Below are 27,361 nucleotides of genomic sequence, written 5' to 3' on the forward strand. Positions count from 1 at the left end.
TCAAAACAGAGCATAAAAGTAGATGTCATTTGAGACTGGCTCCTAACTTTAATCAGCATGTCACTTCCTTTTTTTTTTTTTTTTTAAGAGGCAGGGTCTTGCTCTTTTCGCCCAGGCTGCTCACTGCAGCCTCAAACTCCTGGGCTCAAGGAATCCTCCTGCTTCAGCCTCCCAAGTAGCCAGGAATATAGGTGCAGCCCTCAATGCTTGGCTAATTTTTTTTTTTTTTCTTTTAAGTAGAGACAGGGTCTCGCTTTGTTGTCCAGACTGGTCCTAAGCATTTTACTGCCTAAATATTTCTTCTACATTCTCCCTGCAATTAACCTTAGCTTAAACCCTACTCAGCTTTTCTCTGGATTCTTTGCCTCCAACATTCTCCCTTTCTCCAGGACCTTTTTCATAATATTTTCAGTTATCTGTCCCAAATGTAAAACTGATCATATCACTCTTTTTATTTAAAATTCTGCAGAACAATTTCCTCCATGTGCTCCCTCCATTTATTCACTGCACATAAAGTCTAAACTAAGTATGGCTTACAAGACCCTTCATGATCCAGCCCCAACCTCTCTAGTCTAAGACACTGACACTAGGTCACTTAAAGCTGCACATGCATGAAGTTTCTCAAGTGAACCATGTTCTTGGACAGGGATAAAAGTTGATTCCCATGAATGGTGCCTGGCATGTGATAAATATTTGACATATGTTAGCTTTTAAAATCTCATATCTTCTCTTTCCTCAAACTATCAATGCAGTCTCTCCATGGTAACTCCGAGCTGATAAGTGCTTCCTATTTTACTTAGAAAAAAGAGCTCCCAATAATATACATACTTCTTTCTTGCTTGTTATGATGGATAACTATTTATGATCCCACTTAGCCAACCTTTCCACTTTGCACTGGACTGTATCCCCTCTTCTTTATATTATATATATATAAAATATATATTTTATATATAATGTTTTATTTATATAATATATATTTTATATATAATATTTTATTTATATAATATATAATATATATTTTATATAGAATGTATTTTATATATTATATATTATATCTGTATATATACATATTAGAGACAAGGTCTCACTCTGTTGCTCAGGCTAGAGTGGGGTGGCATGCAATTATGGCTGACTGCAGCCTCGAACTCCTGGGCTTAAGTGATTTGCCTGCTTCAGCCTCTCAAGTAGCTAGGATTACAGGTGTGCATCACTATGCCCAGCTGATCTTTAAAAAAATTTTTCTTAATTTTTATAGAAACAAGGACTTGCTATGTTGTCTTGGCTGGTCTCAAACTCCTGGCCTCAAGCCATCCTTCTACCTTGGCCTTGCCAAATGCTGGGAATATAGGTGTGAGCCACTACGCCTGGTCTGCATCCCCTCTTCTATAAAAGAATATTGTGCCAGTAATTCTCCTCACCCTCCTGCATTATTAATATTTCTTTCAACTGAATTACTCTCATTAGAAAACAACCTTGATATACTTTTTTTTCCATTAACAAACAAAATAGAACAAAAACCTCTCCAGATCTTGTATCTTCTCTCTTAGTATCTTCTCTTTAGATCAAATCTTGACACACTTCTCTATACTCATTGTCTCCAATTTCTCCTTCCCCGTTTTCTCCTAAGCCTATTCTAATCAAACTTTGGAGTTTCATTACTCCAAACTGGCCCTCTGCATGAACAGTGCTTAGTACACTGCCTGACACGTAGGTGGACTCAATAAAATACTTTGTGATTCATTGGATCTCTGTAATGTAACTCATGTTATCCTTATAGTTGGAATGCTCCATTAACCTCCTTCCTCATCTCCACTCCTCCTTGCCTGATAAATTCTCACAAGTCCTTCAACACTCTGAGTAGGACCTGCCTCTTTTTTGAATGTTTCTCTAACCTCTCCTAGCTGAGCCAGAAGCTTTCCTATGTTTCCATTGCATCCTGTGACTACTGCTCTTGTTGCACTTAAAACATGCCATTATTTTTTCTTTAACTAGGTTGTATCTCTTAAAATATTCTAGAAGCCTTCAAGATCAGTGATCATGGTTTTTTGTTTTTTTTTTAACCTTGCTCATCACCATAACCTAGCACAGAGTAGATACTTAACAAAAGCAGGTGAATAAATGGAAGAATGAATAAGTCATCTAAAGAAAGATGGTAATGAAGGGTGAAATAAACACAGTAGCAAACAAAGAGGTGGGGGAAGAGGGAGAGATAAAAGGTCAAATCAAGCCAGGAGAAAGCAAACAAATGCACTGGGACAAAATGTCTTGTAAGCAACATCAGCATTCTTTGTGGTTTGAATTCCTAGGATGAAGTAAAGGGTGGATGAATAAATCACTGATGAAGCAGCAAAACAAAATACCTGGGTCAAAGCTTTTAGGTCACTGAGAAGATGGCTCAGCTCAGTGAAGATAAATTCAAGCCCATGCCTAAAATGATTTGTATTTGTAGGGATGCTGGAGATGTTAGCCCCAAAACTAAAATAAATATGTTGGTTGTTGTGACAGATGTTATAAAGTCAAGTGGAAAAGTTTTATTAAACTTTGATATGTGAACCAATGCTGACTCTAATCTTCTAAAACAGGGATTAAATCCCACAGGTCCTCATTCCTAAATCAAGTGCTTCATCCACATACCTTCAAAGCAGGCAAACAACAAACTGACAAATACAGTGCTGAGATTATAATCCGGGGTAGAAATGACTCAGTCTAAGCCTTACAAACAAACCTGGCTTTTATGCTAACATTCACACTAACATCTGAATGCAGTCTAAATACATTAAGAATCTTAAAATAGGTAACTGAATTACATTGCAAAAATAGACCCAAAAGGAACTAGGAAAGCTCATTTGTCCCTTTCTAAATTCCTTCCTGCAACTCATTCCACACCAAGAATAGATTGCTCTCTTTTAGAGAAGGACTTTTTCTATATTTTCCTCAAAGCATGAGAGGTATTAAGTATTTGCATCAAAAGGCAATAATAACATCAAAAGATAACATTTATTGGGAATCCCATTTTATAATGAGGTAACAAAAATTCAGACCTGTCAGATAACTTAGAGAGCTAGTAAGTAGCTGGAAGGGAAATCTGAGCTGAAAGTCTTTCCATGACTATGTTTCTACAAGCTAAGTAAACATAGTACTTTAGTGTGTTCATATTCTCAAATGTAAATAAATAGTCATGCAGATATCCAAATGAATTTTGGGGTCACATTTAATTTTTTTTGTCCCACATAAGAATGTGACTTATGAGTATAATAGAAAAACTCTTGTTGCAAGGTAACCTAGAGCTATGATATCTGTGCTTGAAAGTACTGTCTTTTGACATATATCATATATTTCATGTTTGAAATTGCTGGAAGATGTCTACTATGTACCCATCAAAATTAAAAATAAAACATTATAAAATAAAAAAAGTATTAAAAAGTTTCTGGGAGAAAAGCAAATTGTCTTCAGTTTTATTTGCCATTTTTCTACCACAAACAAATAAATAAAAGTTGAAAAATGAACTATTCAGCCTCTGGAACAGTAGGTAGAAAGTGATAAAATGCTATGTTAAATGAAGCCATTTGCAATATAGTTTTTCAGTTGGATAATCTTGCTTAGAATTCAATCAGTATAAACCCACAATTATCATACATCATATTGTCACAGTATAGTTGGCTTTAATTACTAAGAGAAAGAAATAAATTCTCTTCTTTGAAGATGTTCTCTGAGTAAACAATGGAATATCATAATAGAAAACACAAGATCTTAAATTGATGAAATGGTAATCTTAAATACCTACAGTCAATAAACACTCCTTGAATGCCTGTGATGTGTAAGACACTGTCAGAAGGTACAGGACATAAAATGAAGCTTTCAAGAGAAATGGTGATAATGAAAATAAGGAATGTAATATTCTTAAAGAAAGCAGATACAGATATCATTCTCCACTTTGGTTCACTAAAATTTTTTTGCCAAATTGCTTACCAATTCTAAAAACTATATAATTAGTTTTTAAATTAAAAAGTAAATTGTAGAACAGTAAAGAAAATTCTATATACATACTTTTCTTTTTCATGTCTCTGTGTGCACACACATAAGACAAGGGAAATTTGTTAACTTTTACTTCTATAACATTCTACTTCACTAGAATAACACTTGAAATAATTTCTACGTATATAAAATCAAATAATTTTGCTAATTTAAAAATTACCAAATATTCTATTTTATGGAATAAAATGTTGCCTGATTCTAAAGAAAAGGTATCAAAAATTAACTTAATGTGCCAGATTATTTTCAAATTTCCAAAGATAGGTGTAAAAACTATGATTCGGAAAAAAAAAACCAAAGAATTACAGATAATAATGCTCATAGAAATGCTAGATGAAGTTAAACCATGCACCGGTTGATGTGTGTCTTTGTAGAATTTTTCTAGTTAACCAGGATCTTGAGTTATGACATTCAGGAAATCTTTTTTTCCATTCAAACTACTGTTACATTAAAAAAAGTCAAACTATAAAAAGAAAAATAATCAATCTGAACAAAGCTAATACTCTAGATGCCAGACCTAGTTTAAATATAAATTAAAAATATATATATATTAAAGTAGATTTTGCATTATTTACCGAGGTAAGGCTGAATATTTAAAATAGCCTTTGTAGTCAACAGAATTGACCTCAAGTTCTGGCTCTACCATTTTACTATGTATGTTTCTGGGGCAAATCATTTATCCTCTCTAAGCCTATGTTTCCTTCTCTGTAAAACAGACATAAGAGACAGTATCTCAAATGAGGCTGTATCAAAGTGCTTAAGTACAGTGTTTACTACATAGTGGCGACTATCAGTATAAACAAAGTTGAGTAAATATGGTCTTCTACATAATGATTTATTTAGTATCACAAAGGTATAAAACAAAAATAAATCTCATTTTACTAAATAGCATAGGGAAGTTCACTAAGAATAAGCCATCTTCTAAAGCATAGGTGATATACTAGTGGGATACATGGTAGTGAGGTTCAGGGAAGAATACCTTGCTTGGGGAGTCTTAAATGTTGGCACTTTGCCACATTTACCTTTCCCAACACGGTATAAAAAATACAATTCTGAATTATTTTAAAAAATTAAAACTATTTTCAGATTCCATACTTTTTTTTGTGATGCTAAAGATTAAGACTTCCATTTTCTGGAATTTGGAAGTCAAAATTTAGAGACGTCCTGTTGCGAATAAGAAGTTTAAAACAAGACCTAAGTAATTTCCATTGCTGGACTATAGGCAAGTAATGATTCAGAAAATTGCTAATTGAAACATAGCTAAGCCATGATTTCAAATTTGCTTCAAGATAGTGGTAAATAAAGTGGTGGTACTGATAACACATATGCATAAAATTATATTGACACAATGTCACCTAGAAACTGTTATTCCCTGGAAGAGACAAATCAACTTTTATTACTGTTTATTGTTTTGAAATATTTTATTAATTAAATTTGGTAAAATTAAAATGGTAATTATGCTTGTTTTTGTAAAGACTTGCAATGATTCTTTAGCTAGAACAAAAAGGTTCTCCTTTCTCCTTAGTTCTTTTGTCTGCTACTGCTATGACACAGGCAATTTTTCATTTAAAACTGAATTTGAATATGAATGAATTTAAATTTTCTAGTATAAATTTTCTACCTGACTGATCCTGATATTTTTCCTTTGTTTTTCCCTTTGTCCTTACCTTTAAAACTTCTTGAAACCTAAGTAGTACTTCTAAATGTAAAAAGTCTGATGCAACACAAAATTAATAAACTAACTCCTCACTTCTGTTTCATTCTTCTAAAATAATATTTATCATAGAAGGAAAAAACTATTTCGCACATGTGACACTATTTTGTTTCTTTGAAATTCTTCTCTTAATAGACATTCAAATTAATATTATACATGAACGAACATGATAAGCTAGAAATTGATAGTACTTATATTTCCAAACTAATTAATTTCATCAATTAAACTTTCCTAATGGATAGTGGAAACCCAGAAAAGTTTATACTCTTGTGTACCCTTTACCTAAGGTGGATAAAGTAATGAATAATATCATTTGCTAGCTACATACTAACCTAGTTTTTAATAAAAACTAAACCAGCTAGCATTCTTTTACATGACCCTAATAACAGTTATTAAAGTATTTTTGTAAACAAATAACTTAGACCTAAGTGTGAATGTACTTTACCAAAGCAAAGAGGTTGTGCATTTGAATCCGAAAAATGGTATACAAGCTGAAACTTTCATAAACTAGCTCATTCAATTAATGTGTTTATATATTGTATAGCCAACATGAGAACTGAATGCCAAGAAGAACACACTGTTGTCATACTGGACAGAGCTTTGAAAAGTTTAGGTGGAAGGTTCAGGAGGTTATTAAGAAAAAAGAACACTCAGTTAAGTATAATTTTTTTGGGTATCTTTTCCAAACCAATGTGAATTACTATCATGAATGAAGGACTAGAGCAATCCTAAAAGACAGAACTGGAATCAAATGATCAATTTAACATATTAGGAACAACAACAAAAAAATAAAAATAAAGACAGGAAACAACAATTTGAGAAAACCGGGAAAACTAAATTGTCATACATTTCATAGATACCAAATTCACTTAGAAAAAACAAACAAACCTGTCCAAACAAGTACAGTCTCTCTTCTACCCACTGATAAGAGTGAAATGGCTTTATCCTTTTGGGACATCTTGAAGTAAGAAAAATCCACTGAAAGTTGTCCCTGTATGTGATGCTTACCATAGTCATGCATATGAACTTTAAATCAACTTTAAATGTCTTAGCTGCAGAATGTCTTAGCTCAGAATAGCTTAGATATTTCAAAAATGTGGGAGGGGATAACATCCTAATTAAAAAAAACCAGTCAGGTGAGTTGATAACTAATTAGTAACTGATAAGCAACTCAGAACAAAGCTTCAGAAATGCTTGATGAGGCAGGTAAGGCTGACAGACTTACTCTGAAGCTGAGGCTGCTGGAAGGAAAGGGGCTGTCCGAACACAAATGGGCTGTGTACTAGGGAAGAGGGAGGTTTTGCAGCTTGATCAAAGATGGAAGGAGCTGGGAGATTGGGTCGTGACTGAATGGAATTCAATATGGCACTCAGTTGGTCACCTGCAGTGGGTAAAACAGTCAAAACTACAACTCGTTATTCATTAACATCCAAAATGGCAAAGTAAATGGTGCTTTATGACATTCAGATAGAGTTGAACACTAAATAAAACCATGCCAATTCAGAAATGAGTGAAAATTGGTGACTGTTAATCATCCTCAGATTAGGGACCGAATTTTGCAAGCTTTTTTTTTTAATGGAAGCGCCCCACCAAATCTTATATAGAAGCCCACCTATAAAAACAAATCCATTTAAATTCATATATAACATCTCTCATTATGTATGGGAGAACGAAGACTCTATGAAGAATCAGTGATAAATTGCTTCAATATTGAACATATATAAATGAAGATTTAAGTAAATGATGCCTTTTCCATAGTTCCCAACAATGACTAATACCACCCTGCCTCATCGGCAGTATATTTCATGCAGAAAATAAGCAATTAACAGTTTTTCTTCAAAAAGCAGAATGGGGCAAAGTATGTTATTAACATAGCAATGTGTTTACATTATAGTTATAAATTAATACTTTCTTTTTTAAGTTGTTACTGCCAAAGAAATTCTACTTTAAAAGCATGAAATATTTTGCTTAGATGAATAATTTAAAAATCTGTAAGTCCTATATGACAAAAAGGATTATGAGCTACCTAATTTGAATAGTATCTAAAATATCGATTCTAACATTTTTCCTTGTACCAAAAGGTTTTACAAAAATTTTTTTTAAGATAATGAAATTATGTGATGGATAATAACTCCTTATTTGTGAGTATACATTAAATAGTTTAAATGATGCTGGAGGTGGGGAGAGGGAACTACATCCAGACTAGGTGATGCAGAAACTGGAAAATAGTATCTTTCTAGTCATATTTCTGAAATATAATAAAGTTTCATATGTGAAAATTTCAACTGAAGTACCTACACGGGATAGATTTATGTGGAAAGAACTGTGTACACGAGCCATATATCTTTTTTTGAAATAATAAATAAATGCTGTAGATTATAGGAAAAAATTTAGAGATCATGAAGAATTTTCTAAAATACTGTTTTAAGAAAAAAAAACTTACAAAAAACAGCTCTTCGATCTTGGACAGTATTAAGAGTTAAAATGGGAACTACTGTTACAGATAATAAAGTTAGATATATTTCATCAAGTTTAAGTTTCTTATTATTTCTTTGCTCCTTCTAAATATTTTAAAAGCTTGTTAACAAGAGTAGGCTTATTATTAATATTTTTTTAAGGAAACAGGATCCTGCTCTGTTGCCCAGGATGGAGCGTGTGGCTATTCACAGGCACGACTATAGCAGACTACATCCTTAAACTCCTGGCCTCAAGTGATCCTGTTGCCTCAGCTTCCCAGGTAGCTGGGACTATAGGCATGAGCCACTATGCCTGGCATGGTGCATGCTATTTTTGAACGATATTCACAAAATCTCATGTTTAAAAAGTAATACTTTATTATTTGTACATAATAACAAATTTTCTCGGCAATGTTTGTGTCTCAAACATTTATATTTATTTTAATGATATTTTAATAAATTATAATGACTGATTTACTGTGATAGCTATTAGTACAATGACAGACAGTTTAAAGACTGAAAGCATACAATTTGTGTTAAACAAGGCTTTAAAACATTACTATATAGAGATATAGTAGCGGTAAGCAAATGCTGAGATTTTAAGAGTTGACAAAGGTAAAGAGAAAGGGACATAAAGAAAACACCACCAAGCATTTACACTATGTAAGTACAAAGATCTAGCTTAAGTTAATGGAAATCAGGTACCCGAAGTAAGCGAGCAGATGATACCCAATCCTATGAGATAGGCTAGTCCAAGGGAGTAAAAAAAAATCTTGTGGCTAGGTTTCCTTCATAAAAATACTTTGTGGAAAGTAATGAAGCTATTCAATAGAAGTAGTTTTATTTTAAACAGAATATTCCTTATACATTTTGTTCACTGTTTTATTTTTTCACTTGTTCTTCAAGTCAGGTATAATGACACTGTATTTGTCCCTTGGAATCAAGTCCTGTGAATTAATTTAAATAAAATTAAAGTAAAATTATTTCCACGTAAGCTATCTGCTCCCTTTTACTCATGACCCAGCTGTATGTTACCTGTGGACAATAGGGCTGATTTTGAAGGAGTCTAGATCAGGTACATAGGAAAGAACAAGAGTGTGTGAATTCACATAAAAATGCAATTTCTGATGAACCTCCAGCATAAATTGTTTCAAAATTAACTATTGTTTGGACAGTCCATGATGCTGGTCTCTTCCATTAATGCAGCCAAAACAGCTGTATATATATTATATTCATATGACTTAGGGTTTTCTTCTTTTTACAACTTTCTGGTTTTATTATAGATATTAAAACCAAACAGATCATTTCACATAATTCTAAATTAACTAAGATTACTGGGTTAGAAATTCAAAACCACATAAATTTTATAAAGCTCATGTGTAATATTACTTAAAAATATTATTTAGAAGTAATAGTTTGATTTTAAATGGATCATTTGAGCAAGTTCTCTGTTTCTCATTAACATTACCATCCTAATAAGTGGATGATAAAAATCAAATTTTACTAGATTTAGTGAAATAGAATCTTTAGGATATGAAATCAAAATGAGTGTTTTTTAAATAGAAAAAAAATAAGCAAGCACTCTCATAAACTTAAGCCAAAACTGGTTAAAAACAAAAAACAACAGCAAAAAACAATACTATGAAAAGAACACCTTTGTAAACATTTTTTATTAGCTTTCCATGAACAAATTTTAATTTAATAAAGATTTCTGGGTGAACACAAATAAAAAGTGTATAAAAGAGAAGGTAATAAAAAATATTGAAGTTAGGTAAGTAAAAGACTTACTTTTAAATACCTACCTTTGCTATTTCCGAGTCCATAATCAAATCCTTGGGCACTGCAACTTGCCCCTTTATTAAAAGCTTGCACTGAGAAAGGGCTTGGAGGAGGAGTTTGAGAATTCTGATCCAGAAGAGCTTGTTCTACAATAAAAGCCATAGCTGTAACATTAGTTTCTTACGTGCTATTCCCTATTCATACAACAAAGAGAGAAAATTGCAAAAGATTTTATGATGGTTAGATTTTAAAATAAGCTCACATCTAGATTTGATCAATTTAAATACCAGTCAGGTCATCTTAACATTAACAAAGCACCTGACAAATCTTTGTTTTTATTTATCAAATACACAGTGAAATTTAGAAATGAGATAGGCTCTTATGAAGCCAATTTACTTTTATTGTGGCAGGATACATTACTGAATGCATACTAATATTTCTGGACCAGGAACTCTTTGTATTTGCAACAAATTTATACAAGAGTATTTTGCAAAACAAAATGGATAACCTATAAACCAGAAATAAAAGTATTTTGCATATTAGTATTAGAATAGAGAAAAAAACTAAGTATCTAGTACCAAAAGGAATTTTCATTTGTTAACTGTTCTAAGTTATGAATGTGAAAATTATGGAAAACTTAACTTTTAACTTATTTTATCACATAAAGATATTTTTCCCAAATAGAAGGATAATAATAAACCATGTTACATAATCAGAGTCTATAAATGTATCAGAATTCTTATTTCAAGCAGAAAATGGCAAATGTTTTATCCATTTACAAATGGCAAGATGTGACCTATAAAATATGCAAACTAAATTAATCCCCTATGAACAATCAACTGGCTCCAAGACTCTGTCTGATATAAAACAATACCTTAGTTAAATATCCATATTAATGCCAGCCAAAAAAGGCAAAATAAAGTCTGTCAAGTAAAATTGGGGGGAAAAGGTATTTATTCCATTAAAATAACCTTATGAAAAATAAAATATCTCAAGTATATTTTTAAATATCTTATTTTTAAAATATCTTTAAGTATCTTAAATATCTTTTTTAAAAGTCAATAGTCCTTGGCCGGTCGCGGTGGCTTACGCTTGTAATCCCAGCACTTTGGGAGGCCAAGGCAGGCGGATCACGAGGTCAGGAGATCGAGACCACGGTGAAACCCCTTCTGTACTAAAAATACAAAAAATTAGCCGGGCGTGGTGGCCGGCGCCTGTAGTCCCAGCTACTCAGAGAGGCTGAGGCAGGAGAATGGCATGAACCTGGGAGGCGGAGCTTGCAGTGAGCCGAGATCGCGCCACTGCACCCCAGCCTGGGTGACAGAGCGAGACTCCATCTCAAAAAAAAAAAAAAAAAAAAGTCAATAGTCCTTTAAACAGAACAGGGAACTACAGACAGGGTGTGGTAGAGTGTTTCCTTCCTACCTGTAAATTGCAATTCTGCTAAACCAGTGGTACTGTATAATCTATCCCTTTACCAGCATTTGTAGACTTGATTTAAAAAACCAATCTTAGCACTTCCCTTAGGCAATACTCTTCAGCATGCAATATTTCAGCAGTAGAATGTTTCTTCAGAAAAACACCCATGAACAGTAAACTGAACGGAAAAGATAGCACTGCTTCCTCTCTAGACTAAGAATGGTCTAGCACCCAGAGTGAAGTCTGTTTTTACCACAGCAGTAACTTTGCCTACTACAGATTTCAAAGACCAATAGAGAATTTTTACAAAGAGGAAAGCTTTTGTTTTACTCACATGACTTCATATAAATTACCATAGTGCCAAATCTTTGTACTTCCATATTAAATATTATCACCAATGAACAGACTATTTGGGCAGCACATCAACTAATCTTAGTGATTTAAAGGCACTAACTTCATATCATTTCTTTCCTTATCACTCCAGGTTTTATATTAAAATAGTAAGATTCACATGATCACCAAATATCCATATTTATGTCTGTATCTATACATCAAGAGTAAAAGATGATTAACTAATTACAGAGAAAAATTTAAACTTTTCTTAAATGATACTCTAATTTAAGAGGCATTTTATCTTGAAAGAAGCTTCTATCTTCTAAGTTTATAAGAATAAAATTTCCCAGGTTAAAACTTGATCCTTAGCATGGAAGGCATTTTGCATTTTAACAATAAGACCTAACTTACCATCCATTAGCTTTATCTGTTATTTGCTCATTTAGTCTTCATATCAAATTTATGTGGTTATGACCTATAAGGTCATTTTATAAATGGGAAAACTGAGGCACAGAGATATTAGGTTAACTTGGTCAAGGTCACATGAGTAAAAAGTTGCACAGCTGGGATCAGTACCCTGGCAGTCCTGCTTCAGAATCCACTCTTACATATTTTTTGTACTGCCAGTTAAAAAATTATTAAGGATTAAGCTAGAAAAGTCCTTTAGAAGTCACCTAAGCTGTTCTCATATTTAACTTATCTTAAATAAAGCTGATCTCCCCTTAGGTATTTTCATTTATATCTGAATATTCCTATATAAAGAAAAATGTTTAAAAATTTATGAATATGAAGTAAATATACAGCAATATATAATAAGCACATAGTAAGTGAAAAAGTCATTTAGTAAATGTCTGATTTACATCAAGCGGAACCCTTATCTTTTTCAAATGAACAGTTCTACTGTTTCAGGACATTATTTTATGACCATATCATCTTAGACTAAAAAAAGTCTATCTGGGAAAAACAAGGAGAGGAGGTAGGTTCTCAAGTTGTGCTCAATGTGTACAGCATGGTGTAATGAGTACAGCATTTAAAACACGAATGAAGATTCTGGCTGAAGTCTTACATCTGCTATGTCACCAGCTGTACAACCATAGACACGTTAGTTTAAATTCTAGAGCTTGAGTTTCCTACCTATAAATTTAAGATTATATCACCTACCTCAAAGGTGTGTTGTGGGGGGAAAAAGGGAGATATCTCCAAAGATACTCCATCATTATTGCAAATTTCAAACCTTTTCTGAATCCATATTTATGGCCAAATTGCCTCTTGGAATAATAAGTATTATAAATTTATTATCTTTTGAATAAAGATGCATGTTCTCTTATTTACCTAACTTCATCCTATAAATTTTGGGATTTGGCAGACAAGTCCATGTTTGCTTACATACTTATTTTGATGTGCTATTATTTTTATAATTCAAGTTGTATTACAAAACTTCATGAGCAACTAGTATGTGTCAAAACTGTTTCAGTACTAGGAATGGAAAGATAAAAACCATGTGCCTGTCCACAAGGGACTCATAACTGGGTATGAAGAAATAAACATGAACTTCACTATGACACTATTGTTCTAGTGGTGAGCACAATTCTTTAGGAACACAAGAAATTCTTTGCTCTGTTGTGATCAGTTAAAGCATCACACAAGTGATAATGTGGTCTCAACTTCGAAGAACAAATTTTTGCCACCAAGATATCAAAGAGAGGGGGACAAAAAGGAATATATTTTATTAAGTGATAGCCATGTTGAAAAAGGTAAAATAAAATTTAAAGTTGAAAATCTAACAACAGGAAACCCTAAAGACACTATGCATTTATTCAATGCTCTTTCCCTAAGACAAAATGCAATCAAATGAAGTTGCCTGGGAGAAGTACTGAGATTGGTAGTTGGAATACCGAAGTTTCATTTTATTATAGAAGGGATAGAACGTTCAGTCCTGGACTGGTACAGAAGAAAGAGGTATATAAATTTATATTAATGAAATTAAAAGCCTGTTTTATAAAGATGAGTCTATATGTTTCGAATTTTCTTTTAATTTTCTTCTTTAATGTGCATTAAGTACTCACGTATTTTACAAACCAATTTTAACAGTTGCAAGATTTTTTAACTTTTAGTTTTGCTTGTTAAAAAGCAAACACACAAAAAACTCTTTAAAACAAAAGCAATACAATAGGCATTAAACTTCTGTATTTGAAAGCTTAATTGGAATAAATCACAAATTTAAGCCAACTTGCCATCTTCATGTCGGAGGTACTGGTTTCCGCCTCTGTCTCTAGCTAAGGACCATGCCTCTCCTTCATCACTCTCACAGAACTCTACCATGCTGTTCTGATCCAGTTGCACCCATGTCCCTTCAGAATTGGTTACCTGGTACATAACAAAAAGCATGATTGATTGGCTTGATTCTTTCAGGGAACTCAGTCTGAAAACCAGTAAAAATCTTACGTGTCTGAATAGTGTAATCATTCCAATACATTTCTACTAAGAAATTAGTTTCTGAAATTAAGGCCACAGCCTGAGGTAAGACAGAAGTCAATAAAAAGTTCTGTAAAATACTGCTTATTTATGAATTTGGTTAAAATAATAACTTTCAAAGCACAAAGATAACACCTAAATAATTTTAAGAATTACCCAAGAACACATGGCTCATTTTCTTTTTTCTGCATCTAAAATGTCCTAACACAGCCGACTTGCTATTATTTAGGTTGAGAGTATCCATAGTGTAACTTGAAAATGACCCTTACTGAGAAATAGCATGACACACTACATCTTCAAGCTTATCAGCTGAGGCAAATGCCACAGTAGCCTAAAGAGTAATTTTATTTGCTCAGGACTTCAGTGAGACCTATGAATGGGAACAAAGAAATGAAACCTTTTGCATATGACCACATCTCCATACCGATCACATAGAATATTTTAAGTGATGATAATCCATGATGGTATAGTACATTTGTAATAATGAAAAAATATGTGCAAATACCAAACATTTATATATACAATACAAATCATTTGTTAATATATTGTTTACACAAGGATAATTATGCAAATCATTAGACAGAAGCACAGAAAAATTATGTATTTGCAATACAAGTAAAGATAAAATACATTAACATTGAAAAACCTGTGGTAGAAATGGCAACCTTTAGAAGAGATGCTTTGGTTGTATTACATTAAAAATGAGTATCTTAGAAGTCATGAAGCTACAAGAATCCATACCTCTCCCACTGCTTTGACTTTGTTTCCCAGAACTAACATTCCAATTGGGATACCTCTAAGGTTAGGGCAGCTTCTGATGTTGTGACCTGAAGGTCCCGTCTTCACTACCTTGTACATGCCTGGCCCTCCTCGCAAGAATGGCATATCTTGTTCTTGCATTGTTGCTTCCTGTGGGCAGCAGGAGTTTATGTCTTTGAAAAAGTCATCAGTATTAGTTTTAGATTCCTGAAAATTTGAATAGGAAAGAAAAATAAACAAAATACAATCTATTATCACTTTCAAAGCCTTCCTATTAATAGCTTTTATAGCAAGTCTACAGTACTGTCAATATAAAAAAAACACATAACTAAAGATAACTGAAGAATTAGTCATTAGCACTAATTAAAGAATCTCAGTTTTTCAACAATGCTATTTAAAATAAAGTTGAAGGCAAGAAAATATAGCAGGAAACCAGTCAACCTCTGGCTTCTGCCCACCATAATTTGAGAAATATAATCATCCTTGATTTTACTTTTATCTTTAATGCAATATTTAAAGTTGGAAAAATAAAAATACTATACTATGTGAACCACAAGGGAATAATTTTGAATCATTATTACTGCATTACTGTATATTGTTATGGGTAAAAAAAAGTCTAAATATTCATTTCTTCCCATGTTGAAATAATTATTTATAAATAGAGAAAACAGGTATGAAGAATCTGAAAACTGATCCATAAGCAGAGATGATGAAAAATATGCATTAAAAATATAGCTATATCTTGCTATTTGTTAGTTATGAATGAAATATTGATGCTTACAATATTTTAACAACTTATACTCTCTAATATTGTACAAATAAAAACGTCTTGCTAGATTTGTTAAGCCATTACTATGCAGTGATACATTAATGCTAGTAACAGAAAAACAGACTATATTTTTAGTAGAAAGGAGAAATTAAACATGGATTTAAGTAAATATAACGTAAATTTATTATTGAAAAGAGTCACTTCTAAAATGAAAGAACCTTCCCTAAATTTTCTGTTAAATTGTAATGCTGTGATAAAATTGTTTCCTATGTGAATGTAATAAAGAGAAATAATAACCTTTCCATATTTTCTCTTTTTCCCAACTAAATGTAAATAAAGGGTCCACACTGGGTGTTCTCATTGTCATCATTACTCCTTTAAAAGAGATTTAAAACTGCATTTTTAAATACAGTAATATGAACTCTATAATTTATTTCATATTCAGATAGAGTAATAGATAACCATAAAGAGACACACATGCAAACATTAGGTTAAAACTGATATTTAATAATGTTATAAATAGAATAAAAATTTAACAACTAACATTATGCAAGATAGAATTGTATTAAATAGTTCTATCCCTACCAGTAGCCTCATAATGAAGAGATATGTATACATGTTCATACACACAGTAACACAGTAGAATATTAAAAATAGAATCCTCAGGTTTAAAAATATGTAGATTCAAGAATTCTGTATACCTGCTACTTTGTTAATTCCATACATGACTGGTCAGGGAAAATGTTAAAGTCACCATTAACTTTCACATAATATTTTGTGAATCTCACTATAGTGATGAATAACCAATTTTTACTTATACAAATATGTACTAAGAAAAATTAATTTACATTTACTGTAATTATATTTTATTTACCAATATTCTTTGGTTACATATTGGAAATTTAACGGAAATGAGAATTTTAAACACTCAAAAAACTTAGATTTACAACCGAAAATAAATGTAAAATACGCATTTTATATACTCATCATATATATTTGTAAGAATTTATATATATGCAAACCTACATGAATACACAGAGAGCACTCAAGATAAAAATTGAGAGTAACACAGGTCTAAACTTTACATAGTACTTGCTATTACACTCACAAGATTTTCTGTAAACATTTTAAAATGTCTGTTTGTAAATGGTTAATAAATAAATACATCATGCCATTTCATAGTTGGAAGGGGCAAGTTTTAATCCCACTCACAACTGATTCTTAAAAATTACATGGCAACATAAAAAAGCAAATATCCATAGATTTAGCAAAAAAACCCAACTTCACTGGTATTTAATAATATTCCTAGTGCATTTAATTAATTATAACAATAATTCTAACTTTTGATCATTCAGGGTAACACTGGGAGTTAAGCCTTGGCACAACTAATTATAATTGCAAACTAGTCACTGAAAGGCAATTATGAAAACTTGTTAAAAATTTAAAATAATATTTTATTGAAAAGGTAATAAAACTATATTAATAAGTATAAAACAAAGTTTATCCAATTCTTGTGCTAAACAGTATAAAACACTGACAGACATAAAGTCATAGAACTGTGCCTATCATGCTCAAGCAATAGTAAAATACATGCTTTATTCAATACAGAAATGTAAGACCCAGGTACCAGCATATTAAATTCATGAATTTCAATATTATTATTTTCTCCCTCCATTCCCATCCCATTCTCAGATGAACATTCAAAGAGGGAATGTGAAAGTGTTGGCAGCAGAAAAAATAAAAGAGCCATAAGGCCAGGACACTGTCACCTAAATAAGTTAGTTGTGAAAACACTAATCTTAGATATAGTCATTGGAAAAGCTACTCATAAAACTAAATATAGCAAATTTGAAGTCATGTGGAAGTATCACTTAAACTAATAATACATTCTTTTTGGCAGGAGTGAGAAAACTCAATTGCAGCACTTCATATAGATCTTTTTTTGGTTAAAAGGTTTTATTAATCTTAAGCAAAGGTTTTAAAGACACAAAATTTGTTATACATGCTGAAATACCTGAATAAAATATTATTGTTCCTTACAGTTAACTCACCTGGGGGAAAAAAGCTTTGGAAGTCCATGAAAATACGTCCAAATCCCTGACTCCTTGGCTAGCATTAAAGATATTCTGAGCAACAAAGTTTAAGAAAGAAAAATATCAACAAAGAAAGGGAACAGGATATCATCTGCAGAAGATGCGTGCACAGTAACAACATTTTTCTGTACTCTAGCACCAACATGGAAATATTATTTTACTAAAGAGAAACTGAAGCCATCTGAGTAAACAACACACCGAAGAAATTCTGTCTGATAAGTAAGTTTTTGTCAGAAGCTCTCCATGGATATAGTGTGTCATGCCATTTACTAAAATTAAGAGCCAGACGTTGTTATAAAGCTTAAGATACTCAATGCAAGAAAGAAACCTTAAAATTCTTTAAATGAGGATGTATTTGTTCTAATACAAGCCAGATTTGTTTTATGACAGAAACCAGTCTGCTGTTTTATAATAAAAATGGAAATGATATCGATTGTATAGAAAATGCAATTATCATTATGAATAATAATGGCATGTAGTTTACGTGAACTTATCACTTTTTGAAGTACAAAAATAAAAATAAAAACTAAAAAAGTAAAAAATAAAAAGTCTGAGTCATTTTTTTCAATTTTCCTTCCCTTTATAAGTAGGAAAAAATTCATTTGGAAATGTTTCTGAATGCTACTAACAAATTTGATAAGAAAAACATAATACATACAATCAATTTTTTATCAAAAGATAAAAATGTAATCAATTTTATCAAAAGACAGGCCTACTTTTCTCTATCTCAAAGTTTAGGAAATGCAGAGCATTTAGGATCTCTAAGTTTAAGTCTAAAAATGTTTTGTTAAGGAACAATTAATTCACAGAAACGTTATCCTAGAAAAATTAACATCTTCACAAAATGTTTTACTGATAATTTAAATGATATACATTTTCGTAGTTATCTCATGCTATCAATCTATATTTATCTGATTTGAAATTAAAATCTTTCTAGTGAGTAGCAATTGCACAATTTTATTGCTTATGTAAATATTATGATAAACGGTTATTTTGAACCAAAAAAGAGGACATTCAAAATATTAATAAAAAAGATCAACTAAGACTTCAACAAAAAAGAAACATCAAAATTCCTTATCAATTATAAGTCATTTTAGATAATGAAACTTTTCTCATTATCTCATTTTAGATAATGAAACTTTTCTCATTATCTCATTTTAGATAATGAGACTTTATTTACTGTTTTCTAGTTCTATATTTTCCATATCCATATATATATATGGATATATACATATATATGTACAGATGAATGTGGGTACACACCCATCTACATAAATATATACTAATTCATAAATATAAGACATATAAAACTCTAAACAAAGTGTCTAATAATATGCCTACAAATAAATGTAAACCAAAACCAAAGCCAACTGCCCCCTAATTAAAAGTGGATAGGGAATACGTCCTTTCTCTTTAGGTAAAGTGAAAAACATATTGCAGAGCATTTTGAAGTGCTATGTTTTAGGGGAAAAATGTCTATACTGGTTCATCCACGTATATAAGAATTTGTAGAGTACTTGGTCAATGGGTTTTTCTCCCTTACAAAGCATAGTGGGACAGACTTTTTGACATAAAACAATATCACTTTTTTTTAGCGTATTCTATTTTTTAGCATAAATTATTCTAGTATTAAAGTAACATGAAAGGCAATTGTTAAAAGTAATGCAGGTAAAGTTAGTGATAAAGAAGCAATGTGATGACTGGTTGACAATATTTAAAGCTTATGTCTCTCTTTTAAGTCAATGTGCAAACATAAGTGCTTTCTCAGTCAACAACATGTACAATGATATTTTAAAATGATGTTAACTGCTAACTGTGGTAATAAATTGCCAATAAAATCAATTCTGTATATGCTTCCATGTAAATTGAAACTTTATACTTTTTTGCTTTTGTTCTGCAGTTGTAGAAAATTCTTAATTCACACTGGTTTACCCTAAGATTATTTTCAAAATGCAATGTCCTAATAAAACTGCATTTATCAAGAAGCAGAAATTTGACTAACAGAAAGCTGGAGTTTAAAAATAAAATATACTTGAATAGCTGGGTGAGTAGTGCATGCCTATACTCGTAGCTATTCAGAAGGCTGAGACAGGAGGATTGCTTGAATCCAGGAGTTCGAGACCAGCCTGGATAAGACAGAGAGACCTCGTCTCTACAAAATAATTTAAAAATATAGCTCGGCATGGTAGTACATGCCTGTAGTCACAGCTACGTGGGAAGCTGAGAAGGCAGGACTCCTTGAGCCCAGAAGTTCAAGTCCAGCTTGGGCAACAACAAGACTTCATCTCAAACACACACACACACACACACACACAAACAAACACACACACACACACACACACACTTGAATAGTGTTCTTTGGAAATTTAGAAATGTTTTAGTCTAAAGATATGAACATTCAGGAAAATGTTAATTTTTCCAAAGCCCCAATTTCTCACTATTAAAATATGTTAGCTTTCATATAGTATAATTTCACAGATTATTATAAGCACAGCTTGTGTGTGCATGTGTATATACGAACACACATATATATAAAATAACATTTCATTCTCAAATACTATTTTAAAGGCAGAAAAGTTCTGTCAAGAAAATTAGAAAATTAAAGCATACTGGGAATCTAACTAAATTAATGAACACCAAATTGCAACTCTAAGCTGATAATCTTTCATGGCGTAGAAAAGAGACCAACAAGTGAATAATTATCACAGTGAAAATAAGTGACCAACCATGCCAAATGCTCATGCAAATAAAAGAAAAAAATCTTTCCTTGTGTTAGATAAGCACAAAGCTAAGAATTGCCATTGTTAAAGCAAAATGATGAAATGACTCAGGAAAATTAAGAATAGCGTATATATATTATTACAATCTTAATTTAACTGTTTTAATCTCATTCTGTTTACGAAACTTTAACACTAAGCTAAAGAATGAAATAAAGCTGTTCTTAACCATATAAGAACAGCACATTTACTAATGTTGTATTAAGTTAATATTATTGAGATTAAAACACGGGTTATGTATACACATACACACAAAGCTATTAACAAAATCAGGAAATCTGGGGTATGTTAAAGCTGTGACTGCTAAGTGTTATTAGGCAAAAAGGAATGAAATTGGATTTAATGTTATTAGGTAAAAAGGAATGAAATTGGATTTAAAATGCAAGAAACATTTGCCAATTTTATCAATTAACCCAGGTGAAGCTATACAAACAAGATTAACAAATGATACTTTCTCTTCAACTCTACTTCAAATCTTTCAGGTTCCAAAATTTGGAAAATCAGTATACTTTCTATATGTGAACACCCATCAGCCTAAAATAAGAAGTAATCTGTATAAATGCATGGAGATATACAGAAACTCAATTCTGTAAGAATTCAGATTATATGGGAACTATAAAGATACCTCAGAATACTTCCATTTGTCTATCATCTACTTCCCTTGATATAAACTTTCTCTTCCACTCAACCCCCCTCACAATGTTAAAAGATCTCATTTTTGACAGAGTACCCAAAGAATTGGGTGTGTAAGTTTGAAACCATTAACATCTCCTATCATAGAAGTACACTTGTTTTCCAAAAAATTAAGCTTGTGATTCCAGAGTCTAATGTCTTCCTTGGTAGGTGCATAATAAATTCTCTCTTCATCTTTTTACTTGCATTGTCCCTGATATTTGAAACATTCTACTAGCTCACATTTTGCAGATTCCACATCTTCAGAATTTTAATTTAAAATCAATCAATGTTCCCCAGGTATGCAATCAAAGAATAACTCATGTCATCTTCAATACATATGGTATTCATCCTCATTCAACCATTAAGGTTATAAGTATTTATCTTTCTGTAGTTTGGCAGTTCTAGTCAAAGTAACAGGATTATTACAGCTATAGTTGCTTCATCCTTTTATAACTATATTTATCCTTATCTCTCCACTAGATTAATGCATACGGAACATAAATGCATGGGCTTTGGAATCATATCAACTGGTGTTCCAATACCAGCTCCACTACTTTCTACTTGTGATCCTGGGTGAGTGGCTATCTTTACTCATTGCAAAAATGAGAATTATAATATGCTTAACATCACAGGGTCACAATGAGGATTAAATGAGATAATTAAGGCAAGGAGCATATATATGTTAGAAATTATTTTAAACAGAATGATCATATCAAATGCAAAGAACTAAAATTAAGCATCCACAAATGTGTAAAGCATCAACAAACTGTGAAAACCTACTATGAGCAAAGTGTAATTTTTAATGCTTAGGAAGAAACAAATGTGAGTGAGAAGGGATCCTGAATGAGTCCTTATCCTTAAGTAGCTTAAAAACAGAAATAAGAGGTACATAAACACAAATGGGCTGAAGGCAAGAAAAACAAATATTATGGGTAGCTGGAGAAAGAAGTAAGCCTTCTCTACTTCTACAGATTAAGTGCTGCCTGAGAAGGAAGAGAGAAAGCTATTCTCCCCAGTACATATCTGTTTTCCACCCTCAATTCTCTGCTTTACCTATATCAACTATTCATTAGTTCACATACATAGCATGTCCCCATAACTCTGAACATTTGATTCTCTGTCTAGAAATTCCTTTACTGTTTCCTGGCAACTTTTCTTCAAGTCCTCCTCAAATGTCACTTAAGTGAAGCCATTCCACAACTTATCACAATGCAATTTAATTATGTGAATATGGTATGTCTACCACATTACATGGTGAGTACTCCAAGGATCAGAACTTCACCCCATGTTATTTACTCTGTATCCCTCCCCTCTGCATCTCCACCCAATGCCTACTTTCCAGCTTAGTATTTATTACTAACAAGAATGCAAATAAGAATTCTACGAATAAGAACTCAAATATTTACTAAATGAGCAATTAATGAATTAATGACTATAGCAAAAATGGAAAATAAAGAGAAGATCACCAACCAATTTTTGAGTCTGGACAACTTAAGATTAGAAAAAAATGGAAGTGAAACCATTCTAGATAAATTAGACAACAAAACAAAGACTCTTAAGACATAAAACTGGAAAGCATGTTCTCAGCCGGGTGCAGTGGCTCACGTCTTTAATCCCAGTCTGTAATCCCAGCACTGTGGGAAGCCAAGGTAGGTGGATCACTTGAGGCCAGGAGTTCGAGAGCAGCCTGGCCAACATGGTAAAACCCTGCCCGTCTCTACTAAAAATACAAAAATTAGCTGGGTGTGGTGGTGTATGCCTGTAATACCAGCTACTTGGGAGGCTGAGACATAAGAATCGCTTGAACCTGGGAGGTGGAGGTTGCAGTGAGCCAAGATCGTGCCACTGAACTCCAGCTTGGGTGGCAGGGCAAGGTGCTGTAAAAACAAACAAACAAACAAAAAACAAAACAAAAAACAACAACAAAAATAACAAAAAAAAAAAGGAAAAGTGTTCTAAAAAGGGCAAAAAGTTCTACATAATTGATAATGAATGCCTCACAGAGGATCTGAACCCTTCATCTATTTAGCTCTATCTTTCCCATTGACTTAAAAATTATTTTGGAAACGATACAGTCATAATATGAATGTCTAATGTTATTTTGTCTCTCAACTAGAGCATTACTAAAAACAGTTAAAGTCACTTTGAACTAAATTAGGATATGAATATTTTTCAGTCAAATATGGTGTTTAAATAGAAAGACTGATAGATCCAAATTGAGCTAAAGTTCATACTTAACGATGAATACACGAATTCTAAAACATGAGTAAACAAGACAGCATGACAAGATCACTTTAAGGATTATCTAAAATGGGTAATTATAGTAATCTTATTTTTAAAAATAATTCATCCAACATTCAGTCAGTGTTCAAACTTCCAATCTCTGCCCCCATTCCTCTCTCTATAGTTTGTTTGAGTTGGGATCCAAATAACGTGCACACATTGATGTCAATACAAAATTGTTTTAACTAGAAAAGGTTGAAGAGATAGACACAAACAGTGCTGAAGGCAACTTTTCAGTACTTTCACTTCTTTTTAAGTTAGCAGCATTGGTGTTTGAATACTTCTAATTTGATTTCATATCTCCCAGCTTTCATTTTTTTATTGAGTCATGTTTTACAATTAACAGCCATGATTAAAGTTCATTTACTTTAAACGAACTGAAGTAAGAAGGGAGAAAGATAGTTTTTCCAGCAGTAAATGTATAAGACATACAAAAGAAGAGGCAGCAAGATGCAACTATTTAGGTGTGTTATTTCCTTGAGAAGATGAGAGGGAATCATTATTCTATGTCCTACCATGTTTAGCCCTGCACAGTCAGATACTCATAAAAAAAATGTACTGACTGCGTAAGGGGTCTGCCCTAGTCCCTACAGAAAATCATACCTGTCCCTGCCTATGCCAGGCCTCTGACTCTGTATGAGTCCTCAGTTAATACCTGTACTGAAGTAACTTTATCCCAGATCTGTTTAGAGCCCTATGCCAATTAATTTTGCCATACTGTACCCCATCTGTCATCTTTGATCACCACCCAAAACATAAATCCTTATGTCATCTACCTGTTCTTTCATTTTTATACCAAACTGCTCTGTTTCTTCCTGATCCAAACTATTCCCATCCCCCCATGACTTTAAATTGTGTCTTATGGACCCCTTCCTCCAATGGTAAACACATTGTTTTTATCTTTTTTTTCTTTTTTTTTTTTGAGACGGAGTCTCACTCTGTCACCCAGGCTGGAGTGCAGTGGTGTGATCTCAGCTCACTGCAACCTCTGCCTCCTGGGTTCAAGCAATTCTCTGCCTCAGCCTCCTGAGTAGCTGGGACTATAGGCGTCCACCACCACGCCTGGCTAATTTTTGTATTTTTAGTAGAGACAGGATTTCACCATCTTGAACTGCTAACCTTGTGATCCACCCGTCTTGGCCTCCCAAAGTGCTGGCATAATAGGCGTGAGCCACCGTGCCCAGCCTGTTTTTATCTTTAACTTTGTGAGTCACATCATCTGTGTGTCTTCAAGTCCATGCAGATGATCTTCCACCTGCCTAACTTCTTAGTTCCTAGACTTAGGCACTTGTAGTGACTTCCACGTGCACTGCACTTCAGCCACCCTCCCATGGCAATGTAATAGAGTATCTCATTTGTTAAAGTGCCCTACCTATGATATCAAATACAAATATTCTACTTTATTGCCTGCATTTTTCCAACTCTTTAACTATAGTGCATTCACTATATTGTTCTAGGATTTTATTAAATCTTCTAAATCCCTTGGACCTTCCATTTGTCCTTTCACATTTCTAACTTAGGTCTGAGTCCACATTCCCAGAACTGATAATCTTAATTGCTATTTCTGTCACAGCAGCTCAGCAACTAGTACTATAATTTGCTTTCTTGGCTCTTTCTTGGCTCTTTTAATTCCAGACACTTAGGGCAATAAAGGACTAGGCAGGGGATTCCAGTTGGGTCTATACAGTGGTCTCATTGAGTCTTTAGTGGCCCAGTAATCCTTCAAACAATATTTCAAATATTCATTGCATTTCTCAACCCCCTAACTTAACTCATTCTTTTGATTCTGAACTGATCGTTTTCCTATCTTCTATTTTAAGGGAACTTGTAGTCTCCCTCAACCTCTTCCCTTCGTCCCTCCCTCCTCTAAAACATAACTACTGCCATGCATATTCCCCTCTCTTTTACAGAAGCAAGCTCTCTAAGGTGCCCTTAATTCCATTTCCTCCTCCTGTTTCTCAGTCTTCAGTCTTGTCATCTATATCTTTAATTTCTCCCTTTTTCTACTAGTATCTTTCTTTTAACTTATAAAACTCTCAAGTCACTACTACTCTTAAAATGAAGAAACCAAAAAAACCCTAGCTTCCTAACAATACCAGACACTCTTGAGCTGTTTACATTAACAACCTCCGCACTCACATTCCAGTGAAAACCACCCACAAGTATCTGTATGCCTCACTCCACTCCTTACCGCTCCTCTAACCTTTGTTACTCCCTTCTTTCCCTGACCTTAAGGAGACTGTCTACTACAGATTGTCTCTTGGATGGGGTTCAAAAGCATCAAGTAACAGAACACAATGCTTTAAAATAAAATCGTGGGATTCAGAATTGTGACAGATGGTACTTCTTGCTCTTCCTTTCTACTTTTGTTTATTGACTTGCTTTATCTGTGTGAGTATCTTTCTCTCCCAAAAGCAGCTCCTCAAATGAGCAAAGAAATCAGAGAAAATTTGGACTAGGAAGGTAGAAAAGATAATATAATCTGGAATAACATTTTATTAGGGACTTAAGAAAATTTTCTTAAATAAAACACACAATGGCCAGGTGTGGTAGCTCATGCCTGTAATATGAGCACTTTGTGAGGCCAAGGTAAGATGATCGCTTGAGCTCAGGAGTTTGAGACCAGCCTGGGCAACATAGTGAGACCCCATCTCTATATTTTTGTGTTTTTTTTGAGACAGAGATTCGCTCTGTCTCCCAGGCTGGAGTGCAGTGGCGTGATCTTGAATCACTGCAACCTCCACCTCCTGAGTTCCAGCGATTCTCCCGCTTCAGCCTCCAGAGTAGCTAGGATTACAGGTGCCCGCCACCACACCTGGCTAATTTTTTGCATTTTTAGTAGAGACGGGGTTTCACCATGTTGGCCAGGCTGGTCTCCTGACCTCAGGTGATCCACTGGCCTTGGCTTCCAAAAGTGCTGGGATTACAGGCGTGAGCCACCTCGCCTGGCTCTCCCATCTGTATAAAAAACAAAAACCAACTCCCCCTTGCCCAACAAAAAAGTCTATATTGGAAAAAAAAACTGTACAAAAGTGGTTGCTATAATTATCTCTTTAAAATACACTTTCATAGAGGGTCAAAATCCTTTTTATTTTTAACTGCAGGTATAAATCTGAGGAAAATTTAATAAGACGTAATTGATGTAATTTTTTAATTTAAAATTTAGTATTTTACTTATAGATGTATCATTGTTCAACTTAACCTCCGTAAAGCAGTAAGCCAACACTCTAAATCTTCTTGATCACATATCTTCCTTCTCTTTCTTGCTCTCTGTCTATATACAGTCTCCACTGTGCTATTATAAAACATACACAAAAGCATATAAAAAAGAATGAGATCAATAAATAGAAATAGAAATTCCAATGTTTTCTTCACCAAAGAATTGTCTTGTATTATATAAACTACTGCTTTGGAGAACATTATTATGGACAATCAAGGAGAAAGTCAAATGGAATATACTGAATGGTTTGATACAATAAGCTAACTTTATAAACGGATTTTTAAGAAATTCAACTGTTTAAAATACTAAGTTTTTAAATAAAATTTTACCCGTGCTATTTATTAGCTCTATCCTAAAGAGCACACACATTTGATGGTAATGAAAAAAGGAAAAATCATTCTTTCCTGGTTAATATATAAAACGAAGTGTGGGTTATTATTATACTTCATGAAGTAGCAATCTTGTGAACACTGGCTCTATTCTACTATACTCAACAAGGAGGTACAATGAATTCTCTCAAAGACTAGGATTTAACTTCAACTAGAATACAACGGAGCACCACAAATCTAAATAATAG

General features: G+C 33.0%; 1 protein-coding gene across 1 annotated transcript in view, besides 1 other annotated feature; it reads right to left on the reverse strand.

Annotated features, from left to right (window-relative positions):
- The window catches only part of MYCBP2 (MYC binding protein 2), a 282,438-nt gene that overhangs the window by 66,712 nt on the left and 188,365 nt on the right, over window positions 1-27,361 (reverse strand). The window contains exons 53-55 of the mRNA NM_015057.5: window positions 14,950-15,174; window positions 13,968-14,100; window positions 10,005-10,127 (exon numbers count right to left, since the gene is read on the reverse strand). Of these exons, the coding sequence (NP_055872.4) occupies window positions 10,005-10,127; window positions 13,968-14,100; window positions 14,950-15,174 (481 nt within the window). The remainder of the gene's footprint in view (window positions 1-10,004; window positions 10,128-13,967; window positions 14,101-14,949; window positions 15,175-27,361) is intronic.
- Window positions 6,580-7,081: an enhancer, noted in NCBI's record as "NANOG hESC enhancer chr13:77692083-77692584 (GRCh37/hg19 assembly coordinates)". NCBI's record gives its function as "activates a minimal SCP1, AML or CMV promoter by ChIP-STARR-seq in primed H9 embryonic stem cells {active_cell/tissue: H9 hESC(primed)}" and the evidence as "EXISTENCE:reporter gene assay evidence [ECO:0000049][PMID:30033119]".

Source organism: Homo sapiens, chromosome 13, assembly GCF_000001405.40.
Source record: "Homo sapiens chromosome 13, GRCh38.p14 Primary Assembly".
Taxonomy (NCBI): Eukaryota; Metazoa; Chordata; class Mammalia; order Primates; family Hominidae; genus Homo; species Homo sapiens.